Below are 20,192 nucleotides of genomic sequence, written 5' to 3'. Positions count from 1 at the left end.
TCTGATGTCTAGAGTAGGCAAACAAATGTTGGACCCTCTTTCTTTCCCTTCCCTCTCATTCCTATCTCTGACCTGGTGAACACAGAAAGAAAATAAATCATCAAAATGTCTCTAGCCACAAGGGGGGGTGTTCAAAAGAAAAGCCGTAACAATGAACTGATGAATACTTCTCAGGGACAGAAGGTATTTTTGATACAAAATATGTTAATAGAGTCTTTAAAGTCAGTGTGGGACCTGTGAAACCTTTATTTCCTAACGCTCACTCTCTGCTAAGAAATAAAAAGGAGACTGGGCACGGTGGTACATGACTGTAATCCCAGCACTTTGGGAGACCAAGGCAGGAGGATCGCTTGAGGCCAAGAGTTCAAGACCAGCCTGTCCGATATAGTAAGACCCTGACTCTACAAAAAATTTTAAAACTTAGGCAGGTATGGTGGTGCACACCTGTAGTCCCAGCTACTCGGGAGGCTGAGGTGGGAAAATCACTTTAGCCTGGGAGGTCAAGTGAGAAGTGAGTCATATGCCACTGCACTTCAGCCTGAGCGACAGAGTGAGACCCTGTCTCAAAAAAAAAAAAAAAAAAAAAAAAAAAAAAAGTAAAGGCCCCACCTTTGACTTCTCTCATAACATATTGGAAGTAAAAATAAGTGGACTCTTTTTCTATACTTTCTGAGTCACACCACAAAATTAAGTTCTTTAGAGTGTGAGGTCCAGGTTGGCATTCAGGACATCAGATTTCTATACTTAGGTCTGTAATATGATCTGCTTCTCTGAAATCCAGTGGGAAAAGAGCTTACATTTATTCATTCATTCATTCATGCTTCAAATATTTACTGCATACCCACTCAGTGCAGCATGCCAGGCCCTGTGCAAGACCCTCTGGTGACAGTGGGGCAGATGCTGGAGGGAGCAGTCAGGGGAGATTGGCTTTAATCAGCCACACAAATGTCAAACTGCAACTCTGAGTTAGCTGAAAGAGTAGCTGCCTAAAAGATGTGTAGGAGGAGTGTCAAGGTTAAGAAGAGAGGAAGGAGTGTTGTAGGCAGAGGCAAGAGCATTTAGGAGGCTGGGCAGGGGAGGGGGAACACAGTGAGAGACTGACAGAAGGCCAGGGCTACAGCGTGGAGAACAGGAGGAACAAGGTATGAGGTGAGGCTGCCAAGAAATGGGAAGGGAAAGCGGCAAGGCCTGGCCAGGCAGGGTCTCGTAGGCCATGGTGAGGAATTTGGTCCGTATTCTAAAAGCAATGGGAAGCCTTGGGGAAGAAAGCTATGTTAGACTAAGGCAGGAATGGGGGGAGTGGGGCACCTAGTGTGACAGATATATGTCTGGAAAAATTATTTTGGCTACTGTGAGAAGAATGGACCCGGGTGGTGGGGGGCAAGAGTGAATAGAGAGGCACCTGGTAGAAGACTTCTTGGTAGTCCAGGTAAGAAATTATGGTGGCTGCCGGGCGCGGTGGCTCACGCCTGTAATCCCAGCACTTTGGGAGGCTGAGGCAGGTGGATCATGAGATCAGGAGATCGAGACCATCGTGGCTAACAGGATGAAACCCCGTCTCTACTAAAAATACAAAAAATTAGCCGGGCGTGGTGGAGGGCGCCTGTAGTCCCAGCTACTCGGGAGGCTGAGGCAGGAGAATGGCATGAACCTGGGAGGTGGAGCTTGCAGTAAGCCAAGATCACACCACTGCACTCCAGCCTGGGCTACAAAGCGAGACTCTGTCTCAGAAAAAAAAAAAAAGAAAGAAAAAAAGAAAAGAAGAGAAATTTTGGTGGCAGGCCGCGCGTGGTGGCCCACACCTGTAATCTGAGCACTTTGGGACGCCTGGCACTCAGGGTGGATGGATCACCTGAGGTCAGAAGTTCAAGACCAGCCTAGCCAACATGGTGAAAACCCGTCTCTACTAAAAATACAAAAAATTAGCTGGGCATGGTGGCAGGCGCCTGTAATCTCAGCTACTGGGGAGACTGAGGCAGGAGAATGGTTTGGACCCGGGGGCGGAGGTTGCAGTGAGCCGAGATCACCCCATTGCACTCCTGTCTGGGCAACAAGAGTGAAACTCCGTCTCAAAAAAAAAAAAGAAAAGAAAGAAATTATAATGGCAGCCGGGCGCAGTGGCTCACGCCTGTAATCCCAACACTTTGGGAGGCTGAGGTGGGTGGATCACCTGAGGTCAGGAGTTCAAGACCAGCCTGGCCAACATGGTGAAACCCCGTCTCTACTAAAAATACAAAAATAAGCCGGGTGTGATGGCACTTGCCTGTAGTTTCAGCTAGCTACTAGGGAGGCTGAAGCAGGAGAATCACTTGAACCCGGGAGGCAGAAGTTGCAGTGAGTTGAGATCATGCCACTGCATTCTAGCCTGGGTGACACAGTGAGACTCTGTCTCAAAAAAGAAAGAAAAAGAAAGAAAGAAAGAGAGAGAGAGAGAGAGAGAGAAAGAAAGAAAGAAATTATGGTACCTCTGGCTAAATGATTAGAGTCAAGGATATTTGGGAAGTAAAATCAGTAGGACTTGAGAAGTATCAGAAGGCCTTCTCAATTTCTAGAGATTAGCCCTTATTAATATGCCAGGTCTTATGGGAAGCTCTTTATGTAGTATGTCAATAAATTATTCCAAAAATATGAAAAGGTAAATATATTATTATTCCCATTTTATAGAGAGGGCAACTGAGGCTCAGCAAGACAAAGTTAACTGATCCAAAGTCACTATGGTTGGACCTTAGTTTTGAACCCAGGCTATTTGACCTTAGATTTGATATTAACAACCAATAAGATATACTTTATAGTGCTGGTATGAGAGACAAGGCCAGCAGCCATCCTCTATGGTAAATGTTTAACATCAGGCTTTTGCCATTTGGAGTGACTGATTTTGAGACATGACAACTAAGTCCACTGCTTGAGAAGGAAACAAAGGTCACACAATAGTTTTGAAAGGGGAGATACACCATATAGGGAAATACATCTAACAGAAGCAAAACTTGCCAAATCTGCAAGGGAGGTACAAAGGCTATAGGAGTTCAAAGGAGGAGAAGGGGAGAAAAAACTTCCGAGAAAGCAAGGCTTGAGACAGACTTTGAAGGCTGTAGCTGGAAGGAAAGAAGCAGAAAAACAGCCCGCCCTAGTCCTTCCTACTCCCCAGAGCGGGGAAGTAGTCTGGTTACTTAGCATAGAGGAGCACAGTAGAAATAAAACTGGAAAGGGGCCGGGCACGGTGGCTCATGCCTGTAATCCCAGAACTTTGGGAGGCCGAGGCGGGCAGATCATTTGAAGTCAGGAGTTTGAGACCAGCCTGGCCAACATGGTGAAACCCTGTCTCTACTAAGAATACAAAAATTAGCTGGGCATGGTGGCAGGCGCCTATGATCCTAGCTACTCGGGAAGCTGAAGCAGGAGAATCGCATGAACCCGGGAGGCAGAGGTTGCAGTGAGCTGAGATCATATCGCTGCACTCCAGCCTAGGCGACAAGAGTGAGACTCCATCTAAAAAATATAAAAAATAACAAAAATAAAACTGGAAAGGTACATTGGGACTAGATTGAAGAGGTGCCTTCTATTTCTAAAATTCTGTGAAATTTTGATGTTAATAAGAAAGAATGAGAGCAAGAGATCATTATCTCAAAAACAGAATGCCTGTAAAATTTGAAAGGGATTGGGGGAGGCAAAGAGGAACAAGACATCCCAAAATATTTCCATGTGGTTCCTCTAACGACAATGTAAATTCCTCATTGATAAAGATGGCATTTTATATTTTATCCTCACCCTGCATAACTATAGCTAACATTTATTGTTATAATTATAGCCAACATTTATGGAGGCTTACTACATACCAGACTCTGCTCTTAATAGCTTTCCATGGATTATTTCATTTGATATTCACAACAACCCTATGAGATAAGTACCATTATTACAGATAAGAAAACTAAGGTTAGAGGGCAGTTTGTCCACAGTTATGTGTGTGGGTGAGCAGAAGTTGACCTGTGATTCAAACCCAGGTATTCAGCCCCCATGCCTGGGCTTTGAAGCACTTAGCTGTGCAGACTCCATGCCAAGCACCTAGTAGCTGCTCAGTGTTAATGTCAATTGAAAGAATAAATATTTGCCAACTAACATTTTACTATCACAGTCTCCTCAAAGCCCTCACTTAAGGTTTGTTTGGTGTCTCCTCTCACCTGCCTTATTGAGACAAACCATAAAATTCCATAGGTGCCACGTGGGAGACTGCCTACCACCGCCTATTCCCCTGCCTCTGTCAACACTACTGCCAGCCTCCCCACACATCCTGCATGAGCCCAAGATGTCCCTTGCGAGGTTTCAGCTATCCTATGCTCTGTGAGGATTGGAGATTGTTTCTCAGGGCTCGGGTATACAGGACATTGAAAAGTTTAGTCATAAAACCTACTACTACAGCAGTTTCTCTAATGGGCACCTAGTACCCTGTTATAGGAATTCATACTCTTCACAGAGTGTCTGGCAGGCCGGGCCCTCATAGTCTAACCCAATGGCAACCACAGTTTGTGACAAACGTGCTCCATATCGTTTTTTGCTTCTCATCCTTTATGGAGGCCAAGCAAACCTTTCTGCCTTGAGCTATTTGTCACACATTTTAGTGATAATTTTTGTGAGAAGGAGAATGATTTCAAGTGATGGATGAGGTGAGCTGTGACAGCCCAGAACAGAGTGAGTAAGGGCTGAAGAATGCGAGTGGGTGTCAAATGGTGTGTATGGAGAAGTTGTCTTCTCCATTCCAACTCTGATCCCGTTTAGGGAAAAGCACCAAAAGGAAGGGCCCCAAAACTCATTTAAATGAAGTTTACATAACTTCTGGCCAAGAGTTATATGGGAAAACATGCTTCCTTTCCATCCTATCCAAGAGTCTGCCCACAGACATGCAGTCATCAATTCTAGAAATTTGCCCATTAACAGGAAATACACCCACTGATATGAATCTAAGACATTAAATGTAAATCCACTTATCTATGATCTGAAATGAAGGGTATTTTCTGGGCTTGATTTGCATTACCAAGATAAAAAAGCACTTCAAGGCAGATGTCTGCCTTACTCACTTGACATCCTACCAATGGACAAATGAAGTCAGAATGTGGCTTGTGTATAAGTCTTATGCCATATTTACTCCTTGGCCTTTGAAATAATCTTTTTTTTTTTTTTTTAAGACAGAGTCTCGCTCTGTCGCCCAGGCTGGAGTGCAGTGGTGCCATCTTGGCTCACTGCAACCTCCACCTCCTGGGTTCAAGCAGCTCTCCTGCCTCAGCCTCCCAAGTAGCTGGGACTACAGGTGTGTACCACCACACCTAGCTAATTTTTGTATTTTTAGTAGAGTCAGGGATTCATCATGTTGGCCAGCCTGGTCTTGAACTCCTAACCTCAGGTGATCCACCCACCTCAGCCTTTTAAAGTGCTGGGATTACAGGCCACCACATAGACAGCCTCAACTTCCATTTCTTACAGAAGGTAAACCTTATTCCAGTCTCACTCAGGATTCAGCTACAACCTTTCCAGATAGCTGAAGCAACTAAGAGGTCAGGCCTTCTGAAAGTTTAAACACTTCATAAGAAATGTGCTTTTCAGTGCCCCAGGGATCCTGGGTTTACTTTGCCACTTCTTGCTTTTCCTATATATGTAGAAAAGCCACAGTGCGCCCCACTGTTGGCCCATATGTAATATATATTCCTGCTTATACAAGATGGCCATGGGAAGTTATTTTTAGTCATTGTTTGGAATGACTTTATAAAAATGCTTTGCATTTTTTAGCAAGACCATCATATAATTGTTTAAGATCAAGTACAACACATAAGGTCACTGGAGAATTTGAGTGCATGTTATCCAAGATAGGATGGTAGAGCTCACATTACAGAAATGTAGTGTGGGAATAGTAAGGAGTCGTTTAATAGAAATTGCACACCTAAGTGTGATGAGTGTATGTGAATGTGGAGAAGTACTTTCTGCACCTGGCCACACAGTTTCAACCAAATGATCCCAAATAAAACAGTGGATGTTAACGGAATATCTAGGATTTGTAAAGTTGTTTTCTTCTCGATGACTTTGAGATCTCTTTATTTCTCAGTCTTCTTCTGAAATAAAGACTGACTACCTATCAATTATAATGGACCCAGATGAAGTTCCTTTGGATGAGCAGTGTGAGCGGCTCCCTTATGATGCCAGCAAGTGGGAGTTTGCCCGGGAGAGACTTAAACTGGGTAAGATATTTGTTCAACAGATTCATAAACCTATACTGAGCACATATTACATGAAAAACACTGTGCTTTGAGAGATGCGAAAGTAAACTAGACCTGGGATTCTACCCTCCAGCTGCTCACAGACTAGCAAGGGAGATGGACACAAAAGTAAATAATTCCAATGCAATGCTCAGATAACAGTACAAGGTGACACGCAGCACCTGTTTGTTCTTGCAACAGTTATTAGGCACCTTCTCTGAGCAGCAGACACTGGTCTAAGCCCTGGAGACACAAAGGTGCTTGCATCTCTTCCCTCAAAGGGCTCAGTCTGGAGATAGGTGCAAAAGTGGTAAGTGAAGGGCGGCGGAGAGAGAGGCATTACAAGTACACGCACGCTTACATAATGAAACTGTTGAGGGATTAGAAATATGTGATCCAGAACATAATTGAGGGTGGCAAGGAACAGTGAAATCAAACATTCGGTGAAAGAGTTGGTGCTCTTCAAGGCCATGGATCAAAAAAACCCTCTGCACAAATCCACAAATTACATACTTTGATTTTCCTGGGAATGTCCAGACCGAGTAGAAAGCCCTAGGGGAATCATTTAAGTTTCACTTTTGAAAAGCAAAGACTGTTGTTTTCCAGGTAGGGCAGATGCTATAAACAGCAGGCAAATGTGCTTTCCCGCAGCCTACCTTCCAGTTCCTCCAGCTCAGACGTCACAAAGCCCATTAATCTCCAGCCTCTGGTGCTACAAAACAATTGGAACCTCAATTACTCCTACCCAAAATGTTTGGATTGTGGCTTCTGAAAGTTTTCCACTCACTCCTGTGTATGCCAGAGTCATTAGTAGTTGGAACTAAGAAAACAGATTGTGGATCCAGTGTTCTTGGAGCTTGTCCCTCTCGGTGTGGAGAGCCTGTTGTTCCAAATTCAACAGTATCGTCCCTCTCCTTACATGCAAATGATACTGGGGTGAGGGATTTAGGGGGCAGAGAGAGGAAAATGGCTTTTGTTTTTCTCTTGGGCCTTGAAATGATTCTGCTTACACTGAGGAAGGACTGGCCTCAGGAGCATGTTCTATTTGGCTTGGGGAGGAAACTTGGAAATCAGTTAAAAGCTGGAGAGACAGGAGAAAGCCAGCAATGGCTGTGGACAGGAGGAAAAAATCAACTACATTTAGAGTAGTTAAGGGCAGGTGGCACACTGGAAGAGTTCCTTCTGCAAGTCTAAATTATATGGCAGCTAGCCCAACCCCTCAGTGACCTTGGCAGGAAATATGGGATAATTTTCCCACAATCACGAGCCATTCTCAGCTCACATTGCTTTCCAGAGTTATTAGTCATAATCAAACATGCTTCTTCCAGTATAGGACACATGAGCTTTCTGTCCCATCGCTTCATTCCTTCCTAGTATCATTGTGATCCACACCACATCACAGATTGCTAATCCTTCTACCAGAATTCCCCTGGGGCTCTGTGGGTTTAAATAATCCCATTTCAGGAGAGTCTCCTTGTTGAAGATCATTCTTATCACTCTTTTCCTTTCCAGAGTTGCCACATGCTAGAATTTGGCTGATGTCCATTTGAGTGTCTCTGATGGGTGAGAGAAAGTGTGTCAAGTCTGCTAACTTTGTCTTTCAATACAGAGTGTGGCTGCAAGGCCCCGAGGTACACTCCTCTGATTGATTAACGTGGGAGCAAGGAGGCCCAAGACTTGTTTATTTCTTAAGCCAAATAAATGACAAAGTAATTTGAAGTAATGTCTAGCAACTGAAAATAACCCAGATTATGTCCAGATAGAGAGAAAAGGCTGTTTTAACTGGCAGTTATACTGGGGTTGTAAATGTAGAGAAATACACAAGGTTATATCTGGTTTCAGCTGTATCTACTTGTTGGTTACTATCAGCAGCCCTAGTGAGTGGGATTGGAATTTATAGTACCTGATAGATGGATGCAGTTGGAGGTTGGGTCAAAGGTGTTGCTACCATTAAAATTCCTGAAATCCAAGAACAAAAAGAATCTTAAAAAAAAAAAAAAGATTCCTCACTAACCCATGGGAGGGAATTCAGCTTCTATAAATTTATCACAGAAGTTAGGAGATAATTCAGCTCCTATATATTTATTATAGAAGTTAGAATAGGCTGGGTGTGGTGGCTCACGCTTGTAATCTCAGTGCTTTGGGAGGCTGAGGTGGGTGGGTCACCTGAGGTCAGGAGTTCGAGACCAGCCTGGCCAACATGGCGAAACCCTGTCTCTACTAAAAATACAAAAATGAGCCAGCTGTAGTGGCGCGTGCCTGTAGTCCCAGCTACTCAGGAGGCTGAGCCAGGAGAATCATTTGAACCCAGGAGGTGGAGGTTGCCGTGAGCCAAGATCACGCCACGGCACTCCGGCCTGGGCAACAGAGTGAGACTCCGTCTCCAAAAAAAAAAAAAAAAAAAAAAGTTAGAATAATGTTCAACACTGCATCTTTCTATTGAAAAATAATCAAAAGTCAGAATTACCTAATACAGCAAACAATACAGGGAGTCAGGAGTTTGGCAAGTGAATGGTGCCTGGGCTGGTGCTGCCTCTTGTAAGACCAGCCCTGAATGCCAGAGACGGCCCAACCCATGCTGCCATGCACTCTCCCCAGCGTGTCCAGGGCCCCTGGCCAGTCCAGGACATTCTTGGAGGAGATTCCAATATCCTTGCATTGTATGGCAATGACCTAGCACACTTCCGAGCTAGTTAGTGGCATTCCAGGAAACACTGAGGAGAATTTTAAGGGAAAAGAAAGATCAGGTGAGGTCAAGTCTGATGCAACTGGGCTCCCCTGAAACTGGAACCATGGGTCTGCAGAAGGATTCCAACACATCAGATGATTAAGGAGCCCATAACAGCTTCATGCTGTTTTATGAGGCAGCAGTCAGCTTCCAAGAGAATAAATGAAAAGGCTGAGGGAAGCCAAATGAGAGCCAGTTTATTCTCAATGATAAGAAGCAAAGTCCCAAACACTTGTTAAAACAAAGTGTGTTGTGACGGCTAAGACGGGATGTGGGGGCTGAAACTATGGAAAGTGCAAAGGATGCCACCTGCCCCAAACATGCAAGGGTCTTAGGTGTGTAAGGAGAAAAGATCTGGATATTTCTCAGGCTCAGGACACTTTTCTTTTTAGATGGTGGAAGGCATTGTGGAAGAAAAACATTGATACTTTATCCCAAATAAAGCAAGGAATAAACCTCCAACCAAAATGCACCAGTTTTTACTAGTATAGAGAAGGCATCTGCCAGCGCTGTTCCCACACCGGATTTTCAGATGTAGCACTTTCAGGATCCACTGGAGGCTCTTTTATTTCAAATCGAGGGTCCCCATCCTGGTCTATTTCTTCAACAATTTTATGCGAAGAAGGAAGCAGAGGCTGTAGCTCTGCCCGTGTTGCATGCTCTGGGAGGAATGTCATTTAGTAATCACTACGGGAGCATGTTTCACAAAAAGAGAAACGTGTCGTCTCCCCAGTGTTCTCTCTGAATGCAGAGCATGTCCCTGCAGACAGCCACACAGAGGCCCTAATGATGACACTGGTATAAGTGAAATTTTCATACATCCTAACTGGACACCTGGGGTGGTGGGTAGTAGAAGACATTAAGCAGAGCAAGGTAAAGACATTTTTGTCACTGAGTAGTTGGGCATAAAAGTAGAAAGGTTCTAATATGATGAGGAAGAAGCAAAGCTTCATTACAAACTACAAGAAAATTTTTTAAAAATGCCCTTTGGGGAAAGGGAGTGGAGTAATGAGGAAGGAAGGGAGGAAAGAAGGTTCATTAACTGAAGGCACATTATCAGACGGGTCTAAGAAAGAGCACTTGGTTGGGAAAGGAGGGGTTGTGTTAAATTAACACTCTAACTGCCAGGATTTATAATAGTTTTAACCAACCAGTGGTATTCTGTCATTTCCCCTTCCCCCAAGAAAAGCCAAAAAAAGACTGACTTACTTCACTTACTCTTCTTTGGGTATATCATGCTGGAGGTGCACCATTTCTCTGGGTTCTATTGAGCTGTTTCCTGATGTGCAAAAGGAGGTTCCCTGATATAAAAGGCAGCTTAGGTACTCCAGGGAGTGCCCTCCCTAAAGGGCATCAATCTCAGGGTCTCCATCCCATGGGCCCCTCTAGTTACCTATGACTAGGAGACTTGCTTTGGGCAACCCACACATTCCTGAACACCACTCTCCATTCTGCAGCAATATTCAGTAATAACAGATAGCACCAGGCACCAAGTTAGGTTCTGGGAAGATTCAGACATGGTCCTTGCCCCCCAGAGTAAAGGGGGGCAAGGACTCCCTGGGTCATTCTAGGATAGGGAAAGAAACATATTAACAGTCATTATAGCATAGCATTATGGGGACCATGAAAGGAACCTTGCTTAGTTATTGCATTTAGCAACTACCTCTCTGGGGTTGAAACAAATCACTACCAGTGGTTGACCAGGCTCCTGTGCTGAACCACGAGGATTTGTAATCTTCACCTAAGACACATTAGAAAGACTGGAAATATTTTGCCTGGTAGGGAAGTCGGATAAATGACTTAGTGATTATTTTAAAGTTATGAGCATTATTATAATCCACAGTAGTAACCACCATTTTCTATTTCTCCCTTTTTGCTGAAAACAGATGAGAGAAAAATGACTGTAAATGGAAAAAGAAAAAGAGCTTAGGTTCCACACAGGGAAGTCTTCTTGGTCATAATGTTATTAAACAATGGAAGAAACTACACGGGACTTGGTCCCATCTCTCCTACGGGAGAACGCTGTGGAAAGGAAACTGGACATCTACCTTCACTGAATGCCTTCTAGGGACTTACTCTATCTTTGAAGGATGTGGGGCCTCAGGAACAGAGTTAAGAGTTGAAAGGAAGAGACTCCAGAAATAAGTCCCTTACTTTGTCTCTTTTAGGGTTAGTTCACTGGAGATTCCATGCCTCACATGCACACATAGGAAAAGGCATTTCCTTCCTGAAAAAGACTTAAACTCACCCTATTGCCTCGGCAAACAAACCAGTGTCTTCTCTTCATTACAGGCAAATCACTTGGAAGAGGGGCTTTTGGAAAAGTGGTTCAAGCATCAGCATTTGGCATTAAGAAATCACCTACGTGCCGGACTGTGGCTGTGAAAATGCTGAAAGGTATGTATGCTGTAGTTTGGCTTTCAACTGACCCATCACCATTTTGCATTTCCTAAATGTTGGTACAAGTTAGATATAGCCTGGGAACAGACACAAGCTTTTCTGCTCTGGACACATAATTTTCTTCTACTGCTAGAGGCCTCTTTGCTCACGAGTTTTAGATTAGGCCAGCACGAGCTCAGAAGAAACCTTGTAAATGGAACAATCCAGCACTGTCCATAGGAAAATGATCTCTGTCACCTCAAAGGTCTTTCTCATCTCACATCACAGACTGTAGACAACAAGGGACTTAAGCCCATTGTAACTGCAGGTTCAGATTTTGGCATGATCTACTGTGATGTTGTAATGGAAACTTAGCAGCACATTCTAAATCCCAATGGCTTTGCTTGGGCTTGACCTGACTATAAAGTAAAACTATAAAGCTAGAACAATTGAGTTGATCAGAACTCTAAACTATTTTATACTAACTACCTCAGCCATAAAACATTTCCTCTTTAGCAGTTTAAAAACCTGAATTATCTTTCTAGTGTTGAAAGATACTACTACTCTGTGAAGCACTGGGAGGTAGAACCAAATCACACAGTGACTTATGCCCAACACCAAAGACAGATTGAAAATGAAAATCAGTGAAAGCTGTGTAAACCACATGTCTCAAAGACTCACAGGTCCTTTACAGTGTAGAAAATACTTCATTTCCTCATCTGTAATGGAATTTTATGATGCTTCAACTCAACAGAACTGAAAACTCAAAAAGCAGCTTTTAACTTTCCAAAGTCTCCAGGATACTGCTGGGAAATTTTGAAGCCCAGCAAGCTGTGAGTCCAACTACACGGGTACCTAGTACAGGCTCCAGGAGAAAGGGTTGTTTGCTTAGGGAGACGTCAAAGTTCTTAATCTTCTAGCAATAACTCCATTATTTCAAAAGCCCCATGTAAATATATTTTCAACTTCAAAAGGTTTACTCCTCAAGAAAAAACTAATAAAACTCTGCAAAGAACCTGCCAATTCTGCTCTGAAAGTAGTCTGGGAAGGAGTTTGGTATCCACAAGTCAGAACTTTTGTTTGGGGTAGACTTCCCAGACGAAGGCAGGTATTTCTGTCAAAATAGAGGCATGCTAGCACCCTCCCTGCAAGAACCCCAGATTCTGAAGAGAAGAGGCATCAACATGTCTTCTATGTAAGAAAGCACCAGACTAGATACTTTCACTTATTAGGCTGAACCACACAAAACAGCCATTTTTCTTATTTCCTCTCAACAGCTTTGTGAGGTAGACATTATTATCCTCAGTTTGCAGATGAGGAAACATGGCCAAGAAAGGTTAAATAGCCTCTGCAAGGCCACACAGCTGCTCAGCGTAAGTAAGGGTTTGTGTGCGAAAGTCTTCCAGCTTTGAATGCAGTGCTCTTTCCTCCATACCAGTGTGCCACAAAAGAGGGGCTGCAGAGACCTGGCCTCCTGGAATTGGCACACTGCTCCAAAACCCTGAAGATGATCCTGGCCTAGTTTATGGAGGCAATCCAGTATCCAACCTAGAGATAGGTGGAAACTAAATCTGGAAGCAACTGTTTCCTCAGCTAGTCCCGTTTCTCTGCTTGCTGCCACACATTGTCCTCTAGGAGAGGCAGCTCTGATATCCACACTAGTCTGTTGTGGGTCCAAGATAATACCTGTGGCCCTGCCTATAAATACAGCAAGCTGAACCAGCACCTGGTTTTTTTCCTCCAAAGAGGAAAGGGTTATAGGGAGATGAATGAGTTTGAAAGAAGATTCTGACTTGAGATTTTTTTTTCTTCTAAGAGACAGGGTTTTACTCTGTCGCCCAGGCTGGAGTGCAGTAGCATGATCATAGTTCACTGCAGCCTCTGCCTCTCAGGCTCAAGCAGTCCTTCCACCTCAGCCTCTCAAATAGCTGGGACTAGAGGCTCACACCATCACACCTAGCTAATTCAAAAAATTTTTTTTTGTAGAGACAGTATCGCCATCTTGCCCAGGCTGGTCTCAAACTCCTGGGCTCAAGCAATCCTCCTGTCTCAGCCTCCCAAAGTGCTGGGATTACAGGCGTGAGCCACTGCACCCAGCTGAGATTTTTTTAAAAGGCTCAGAGAATCTCTTCTATGTAATACAGATTGCATGTGTAGTGTCTTCATAAATGCCTATTTTTTTTTTTTAGCCATCAGCATTGATTGTAAAAGACTGCCAAATCATCCACTCTATAAAATTCCTTTAAAAAATTTCATTCAGCTTTCTTGCTTAAATTAATTGGCCATCTGATTCTGGGAGATAGAAAAAAGGCATGGCCCGGCGTGATGGCTCATGCCTGTAATCCAGCACTTTGGGAGGCCGAGGCCGGCAGATCATGAGGTCAGGCGTTCGAGACCGGCCTGGCCAATATGGCAAAATCCCATCTCTAATAAAAAATACAAAAATTAGCCGGGCGTGGTGGTGGGCACCTGTAGTCCCAGCTACTTGAGAGGCTGAGGCAGGAGAATCGCTTGAACCCAGGAGTTGGAGGTTGCAGTAAGCTAAGATCACGCCACTGCACTCCAGCCTGGGTGACAGAGCGAGACTCCGTCTCAAAACAAAAGCATAAAGTGAAACAAAGGCCATAAGTCAAAAGCTCTTTCAAAGTGTCCTTGAGCAAAAATATTAATCTTTTTGGGCCTTACACCCATGCCTGAAATGAGAAGAGTAATTGTGTTTATTTATTCCAAAATATTTGTTGAGCATCTACTGTGAGCCAGCCCTAACCCCATGCACAGGATTTGGAGTTTATCTAGTTATTATTAAAAATGATTTGTGCTTATGAAATACCATGTTGGTATCTACCACAATGTTAAATGCACATACCTCTAACCCACTTCCAGGACACTGTCCTACAGAAACACTTGCATGTGTGCACAGAGATTACACACAGACTATCACAGTATTATTTGTAATAGCAAAAAGACTATAGACACTCTAAATGTCAGGGACACCATTAATCAATTAAAAAGAATGGGCTCACACTGGCCACCATTAACGTGGTTAACCTGCTGGGTGTGGTGGCTCACGCCTGTAATCCCAGCAGTTTGGGAGGCCAAGGCAGGTGGATCACCTCAAGTCAGGAGCATGGTGAAACCCTGTCTCTACTAAAAATACAAAAATTAGCCAAGCATTGTGGCACACACCTGTAATCCCAGCTACTCGGGAGGCTGAGGCATGAGAATCGCTTGAACCCAGGAGGTGGAGGTTGCAGGGAGCCGAGATCGCACCAATGCACGCCAGCCTGGGCGACAGAGGGAGACTCTGTCTCAAAAAAAATAAAAATAAAAAATAAAAAGAAATAAAAAGAAGAGAAAAAGTCTCTGATTTATTAAAAGGGGGGAAATAGATTTTTTAAATAGACTATATATAGTCATATATATCATATATATATGATATATATATATATATATAGGACCTCTGATTGAATATTTATAAATGCATAGAAAAAGGTCTGAACACCAAACTATTAACCATGGCTGCTTCTAAGAAGGCAAGTGGGTCGGAGTGGCTTTTGCTTTTTATCTAGAACATTTTATTCCAACTCATATTGTTGAAATATTTTACAGAAAGATTATTTGATTTTTATATTTCTAAAAATAATTTAAAATTTTTAAATGCCTTGCATATTAACTAATAAGAACAAACAGAACAAACTCAATTTAGGCTTTAGACTCTGCTAATTCTTGGACTGATAATGCTTATCTCTGAGACTGAAGTTGAAGTCAGATGCTATGGATCCTCACAACCCAAGATAACCCTGTGAACTCCAGAGAGGACAGGGTTACAGGGAGAAAATAACACATTGCAAAGATGTTTACAACAGTAGCCATTCTGCCCTGGCAGGCCCCTTGTGCTCCTTCTCTGTGACTCCCCAAAGGGAGAAGGTGAGAAGAGGGGACGTGGAGGTGTACTCCCTGCCTGGTGGGTTCTTGCTGCACCTGGTTCTGACAGAAGGGAAGCCTTTGGAAGGCACTTTCACGAGGTGCCCAGCTCTGAGTCAGCGCATTGCTGAAGAGAACTAGGTCCACCAAGAGGAAATGTCCAGTGACTAACCCCACTACTGTGCTGGGCCTTACTGTAATCAAAAGGATGTTGGCTCAGGAGGGTGGGAGTAATGAAAACAGTCTGGAGACTTGGCCTTTCTGCAGAATGTGGGGAAGTTAGTGAAGCAACCGGCTGAGCATTGACAAACAAGGAGGGCAAGAATGCCGCCTCCGGCGGAAGGAGCCCCATTGTCCTGTCGCCCTGACTCTTCCTTGCTTCTCACACAGAGGGGGCCACGGCCAGCGAGTACAAAGCTCTGATGACTGAGCTAAAAATCTTGACCCACATTGGCCACCATCTGAACGTGGTTAACCTGCTGGGAGCCTGCACCAAGCAAGGAGGTAATGGAGAAGGGGAGGGCCGGCTCCGTCTCCCCCTGCACAGGCTGGGAGAACAGTTCTCTGCCTTACAGCTCCTTCTCCCCCGCACTGTGCTTCCTCGCCTCCAGGAAAACGGCCTCCCTAATAGCTCTAGAAGAAACAGCTTGTGCATCTACAGAAGGGTGCTCCCATAAATCCCTTCCCTGTGCCGTTAATTTAAAGATTCTGAAGAGGACTCCCTTTTTGATCTCCTTCCACAGGCTCTAGGCTAAGCAGAGGGCACTTTTCTCTCAGGATGGGTCTGAAGGAGTGTGGCCAGAGCCAAGGTAAAAGGTAGAAGGTTGCATATTCCTTGAGGCTTCACCTAAAGGAATGAATGAATCACTACTGGTAGGGTCCCAGGAGGAGGTGATGTGGGGGCCCTTCCCTCCAGATCCACCATGCAGATAGACCTTACCCAAGGGGGTAGGGACAGAGCTGTGCTTTATGATTAAGAGCTCCAGCATGTTGTCGCAGACCTTTCTTTCCGTATGGCAGGGTTAGGGCAGAGTAGATGTGTGATCATTGTTTGAGCCAGCAAGGTGCAAAGAGCTGTGCAAGCCAATGTTTTCCCCAGCTCTCAACAGAGGTAGCAGAGATGAAGGGTAGCTGGGGAAGACAATCTGCTAGGGGCGGAGGTGGTTAGAGAGGAGCTAAAGGCTGGGGAGGCCAGAAACAGTCGGAGGGACCTCGACACGGCCCCGCCTGCTTCTCCATCATCCCCGGATAACGTTTTATGAAGTTCTCTGTCGTGGCAACCTCATTCTGTTTGCCTCAACTTTGCATCTGTAAAACTGATCAGGTATAATGAGACAGCTTACCCTCATGTGCGGCCGTCAGCTCCGTGCAGCTGGGCGCCAGCATGGAAGCCCCTCTGAGGACGGTGGCTGGACCCCATGCGGGAGCCGAACTCTGCGGCATCTGCCGCCGTAGAGGGGACATAAAAAACTCTGGAAGCAACTTCCCGTTCTGGAACCTAGGGGGAAGATGAGATGCTGTTAGGATTTCTAGCGTGTTCCTCGTACTAAGAGAAAACCACTCCACCAGGACCAGCCCAACTTCTGCAAGGCACAAAAAAGAACTAGTGGCTTCTGGGCTCCCGGCATGCCCTGGGCAGCGGCTGGTGAAGCAGCTCCGGGGTCACTCCCCTTTGACCCAGAAGTGGTCCTTGCTTTGTGGGCTGCATGCCCAGCCCAGGCATGCAGTGGAAACGCAGGGCAGGAGAGAGGAGGCCTTCAGAGTGCAGCTGGACTTCCTTCCCAACCCTCTTGCTTCCTTCAGACCGGGGTCGGGTTGGCAAACCAAGGTCAGCCTGTGAGCTTAAAATGGTTTGACCTTTTTAAAGTTGGGGGAAAAAATAAAAAATAAAAATAATATTTCATGATATGAAATTGTATGAAATTCCAATCTCTGTGTTCATAGTTTTCTTGGAGCACAGTCATACTTGTTTGGTTGTTTCCAGGCTACAAAGGCAGAATTGAGTAGTAGCTCCTTGATCTGCAAAGCCTAAAATGCTTACTAGCTGGACCTTTACAAGAAGAGTTTGCCGATTCCTACTGTAGATCCTCTGGCAAGCCCCAAGGCAAATCGCGCAGACACTGCTGGCGAGAGACGGCCAGGTAGCCGTCTCTGTCGTGGTAGGGAGGGAGGAGCTGCTTAATAGTTCCAGGACTGGTGTGACAGTAACCAGAAGCCGCTCTACTCGCAAGGGTCTGGTTAAGAGGCAGGGAGGCTGGCTTTTGCCTCTCCCCTCCTCAAACGTATTTCTGTCCTTCTTCCAATCTTTTCTCTCTAATGCTTCTGCACTGCCCCTCACCTCCTTTTTTTTTTTTTTTTTTTTGTATTTCAATTGTATTCTTTAAACCCCTTCTTAGGTTAAACTGAAAAAGTCACCGTATTCATGGGCCTCTCATCCCTAAATCGCATCCCTTCGCCCCACTAATACAAAGGCTGGTTGGTTTGAGGTTTCTCAGGCAGGCTGAAGGCTGGCAAATGGCTGACTGGCTTGGTGTGGCTGAGCATGAGCATGTGCTGTTTTGGCTGCAGGGCCTCTGATGGTGATTGTTGAATACTGCAAATATGGAAATCTCTCCAACTACCTCAAGAGCAAACGTGACTTATTTTTTCTCAACAAGGTAAGGATTTCAAAAGTTGGAGGTTTTTAAAGATAGCAATGAGTTTTCATTTAGTCTGTAACAACATAAAGCAAGAGAAACCTGTATTGTGTTGTTAATGATTAAACTTAAAACTCAATCTCTGCTTCTTCTCCTTTTTTCATGTTTTTTCCCCTGATAATCTGTTACACTCTAGTGTGGATAGCACAGAGAATCATTTGATCCCTGTGTGCGTATGCAGCCATAATTGGAGAGTAAATCTACTAGCCACTTATCTAAATATCTAACAATAACTTTCTCTCTTTCTCCCCCTATATATGTGTGCATGTGTACATACACGCAAACATACATACACAAGTCACTTATTTCTTTAAGGAAGATAATAGTTAATATAATTGTCTCCATTTATTAGGTTAGATTTTGACTAAGGCTAAATCAACTGAGTGACTTGACAATCAGCAGTAGACCAATGATGTGGCCAGGGCCAAAAATCATTATCTTTCTTTTCCACTGCCCTTTCCCCTACTTCCTGACACCCTCACTACCCATGTCATCCCTACATATACTCTGAACCAGCCTTATTAAATAAAAGCTGTGTAGTAAAAGGAACATGTGGACCCAAGACCTAAGGGCAAACAAGGTTTAAAAGAGATTATTGGGCCAGGCACGGTGGCTTACGCCTGTAATCCCAGAACTTTGGGGGCTGAGGCAGGTGGATCTTGTGAGGTCAGGAGTTCGAAACCAGCCTGGCCAGCATGGTGAAAACCCGTCTCTACTAAAAATACAAAAATTAGCCAGGCGTGGTGGCCCGCGCCTGTAATCCCAGCTACTAGGGAGGCTGAGGCAGGAGAATCGCTTGAGCCTGGGAGGCTGAGGTTGCAGTGAGCCGAGATCAAGCCACTACACTCCAGCCTGGGCAACAGAGTGAGACTCCGTCTCAAAAAAAAAAAAAAAAAAAAAAAGAGAGAGAGAGATTATTGAATGGAGGAGAAATAATTTACTAAAACTTTGCCAGTGTGACATATGGCACCAATACTGTGTCCTTCTCTGAGCTGAAGAAGTCCAGGGGACAGTGATTCAACATTATTAACCAGTAATCAGCAACACTGGTGATGAACCCATGTAGTGTGGTGGTTAAACATTGAGACTCTGGAATCAGACTTCCTGGATTCAAATCCTGTCTCTACTTCTCATGAAATCTGGGAATGCAAATTACTCAACCTGTCTGTTTCAGTTCCCTCGTTTATTAAATGAAGCTTATAATAGAATCCAGCTGATGGGATTGTTGAGAGAATAAAAATCTCTCAGTCAAACATTCAATAAATGTTAATCATCACTGTCACCACCACTGTCATCATCATCATCAACATCATTGACCTACTAAGATAGAAAAATTGGGTGAGTCCAACTTCGTACCACTGATCTACATGGTGGATAAAATGTCTGAAATCCAAGAATGATGCCCATCTTTATAATGTGGGCAAGAATCTTCACACACAAATAAGAACCACTGGACAGCTGGCCAATTTTCTCATCCCTCAAACTTTGATCTAATTAAAGACAGAGATGTTCTACCGGACCGGCAATATATGCAAGAACATCATTTTCCCCAGGTTTAAGTCAGGTCCTCTAATAATAAGAACCTTTTTTTTTTTTTTTTTTTTTTGAGACAGAGTTTCTCTCTCTGTCAGTCAGGCTGGAGTGCAGTGGTGTGATCTCAGCTCACTGCAACCTCCGTTTCCTGGGTTCAAGTGATCCTCCTGCCTCTACCCTCCCAAGTAGCTGGGATTACAGGAGCCCGCCACAACGCCCAGCTAATTTTTGAATATTTTGGTAGAGACGGAGTTTCACCATGTTGGCCAGGCTGGTCAAACTCCTGACCTCAGGTGATCCGCCTGCCTCGGCCTCACAAAGTGCTGGGATTACAGGTGTGAGCCACCGTGCCCGGCCTAATAATTAGAATCTTGAAACTGAAAGGGATCTTTGTGATCAGTTGGTTCACACTCGCAGGCTGCAGATGCGTTCAGAGAAGTCAAGTGATTCGCTTAAGGACACACACCTACCATGAGGTGAAGTCAGAAGGTGAAAGAACTCAGCTCTCTTGACTCCTCCTCCACTGCCTTTTCTGTGCACCACACTAAATGAGGTGAAAAAAGCATAAGAAAAAGTGGAAAGTGGTGCCTTGGGCTGAGGGCAGTACAAATTCCCCTTAGTACTGAAATTTTGGACTGGCTTCAGGAAGAGCTAAGCCAGCAGAATACCCTAGGGACCTGGGCAGGATGGAAC

At 44.5% G+C, this 20,192-nt stretch overlaps 1 protein-coding gene across 1 annotated transcript in view, besides 1 other annotated feature; it reads left to right on the top strand.

The window, feature by feature from the left end:
* FLT1 (fms related receptor tyrosine kinase 1) overlaps nt 1-20,192 on the top strand; it is a 194,783-nt gene that overhangs the window by 149,740 nt on the left and 24,851 nt on the right. Inside the window, exons 17-20 of the mRNA NM_002019.4 lie at nt 6,089-6,221; nt 11,260-11,364; nt 15,661-15,774; nt 17,839-17,927. Coding sequence (NP_002010.2) covers nt 6,089-6,221; nt 11,260-11,364; nt 15,661-15,774; nt 17,839-17,927 — 441 coding nt within the window. The remainder of the gene's footprint in view (nt 1-6,088; nt 6,222-11,259; nt 11,365-15,660; nt 15,775-17,838; nt 17,928-20,192) is intronic.
* Nucleotides 16,796-17,296: an enhancer, noted in NCBI's record as "H3K4me1 hESC enhancer chr13:28902230-28902730 (GRCh37/hg19 assembly coordinates)". NCBI's record gives its function as "activates a minimal SCP1, AML or CMV promoter by ChIP-STARR-seq in primed H9 embryonic stem cells {active_cell/tissue: H9 hESC(primed)}" and the evidence as "EXISTENCE:reporter gene assay evidence [ECO:0000049][PMID:30033119]".

The sequence above is a fragment of the Homo sapiens genome, chromosome 13 (assembly GCF_000001405.40).
Source record: "Homo sapiens chromosome 13, GRCh38.p14 Primary Assembly".
In the NCBI taxonomy this organism is placed as follows: domain Eukaryota; kingdom Metazoa; phylum Chordata; class Mammalia; order Primates; family Hominidae; genus Homo; species Homo sapiens.
This window is presented reverse-complemented; position numbering and strand designations above follow the sequence as displayed.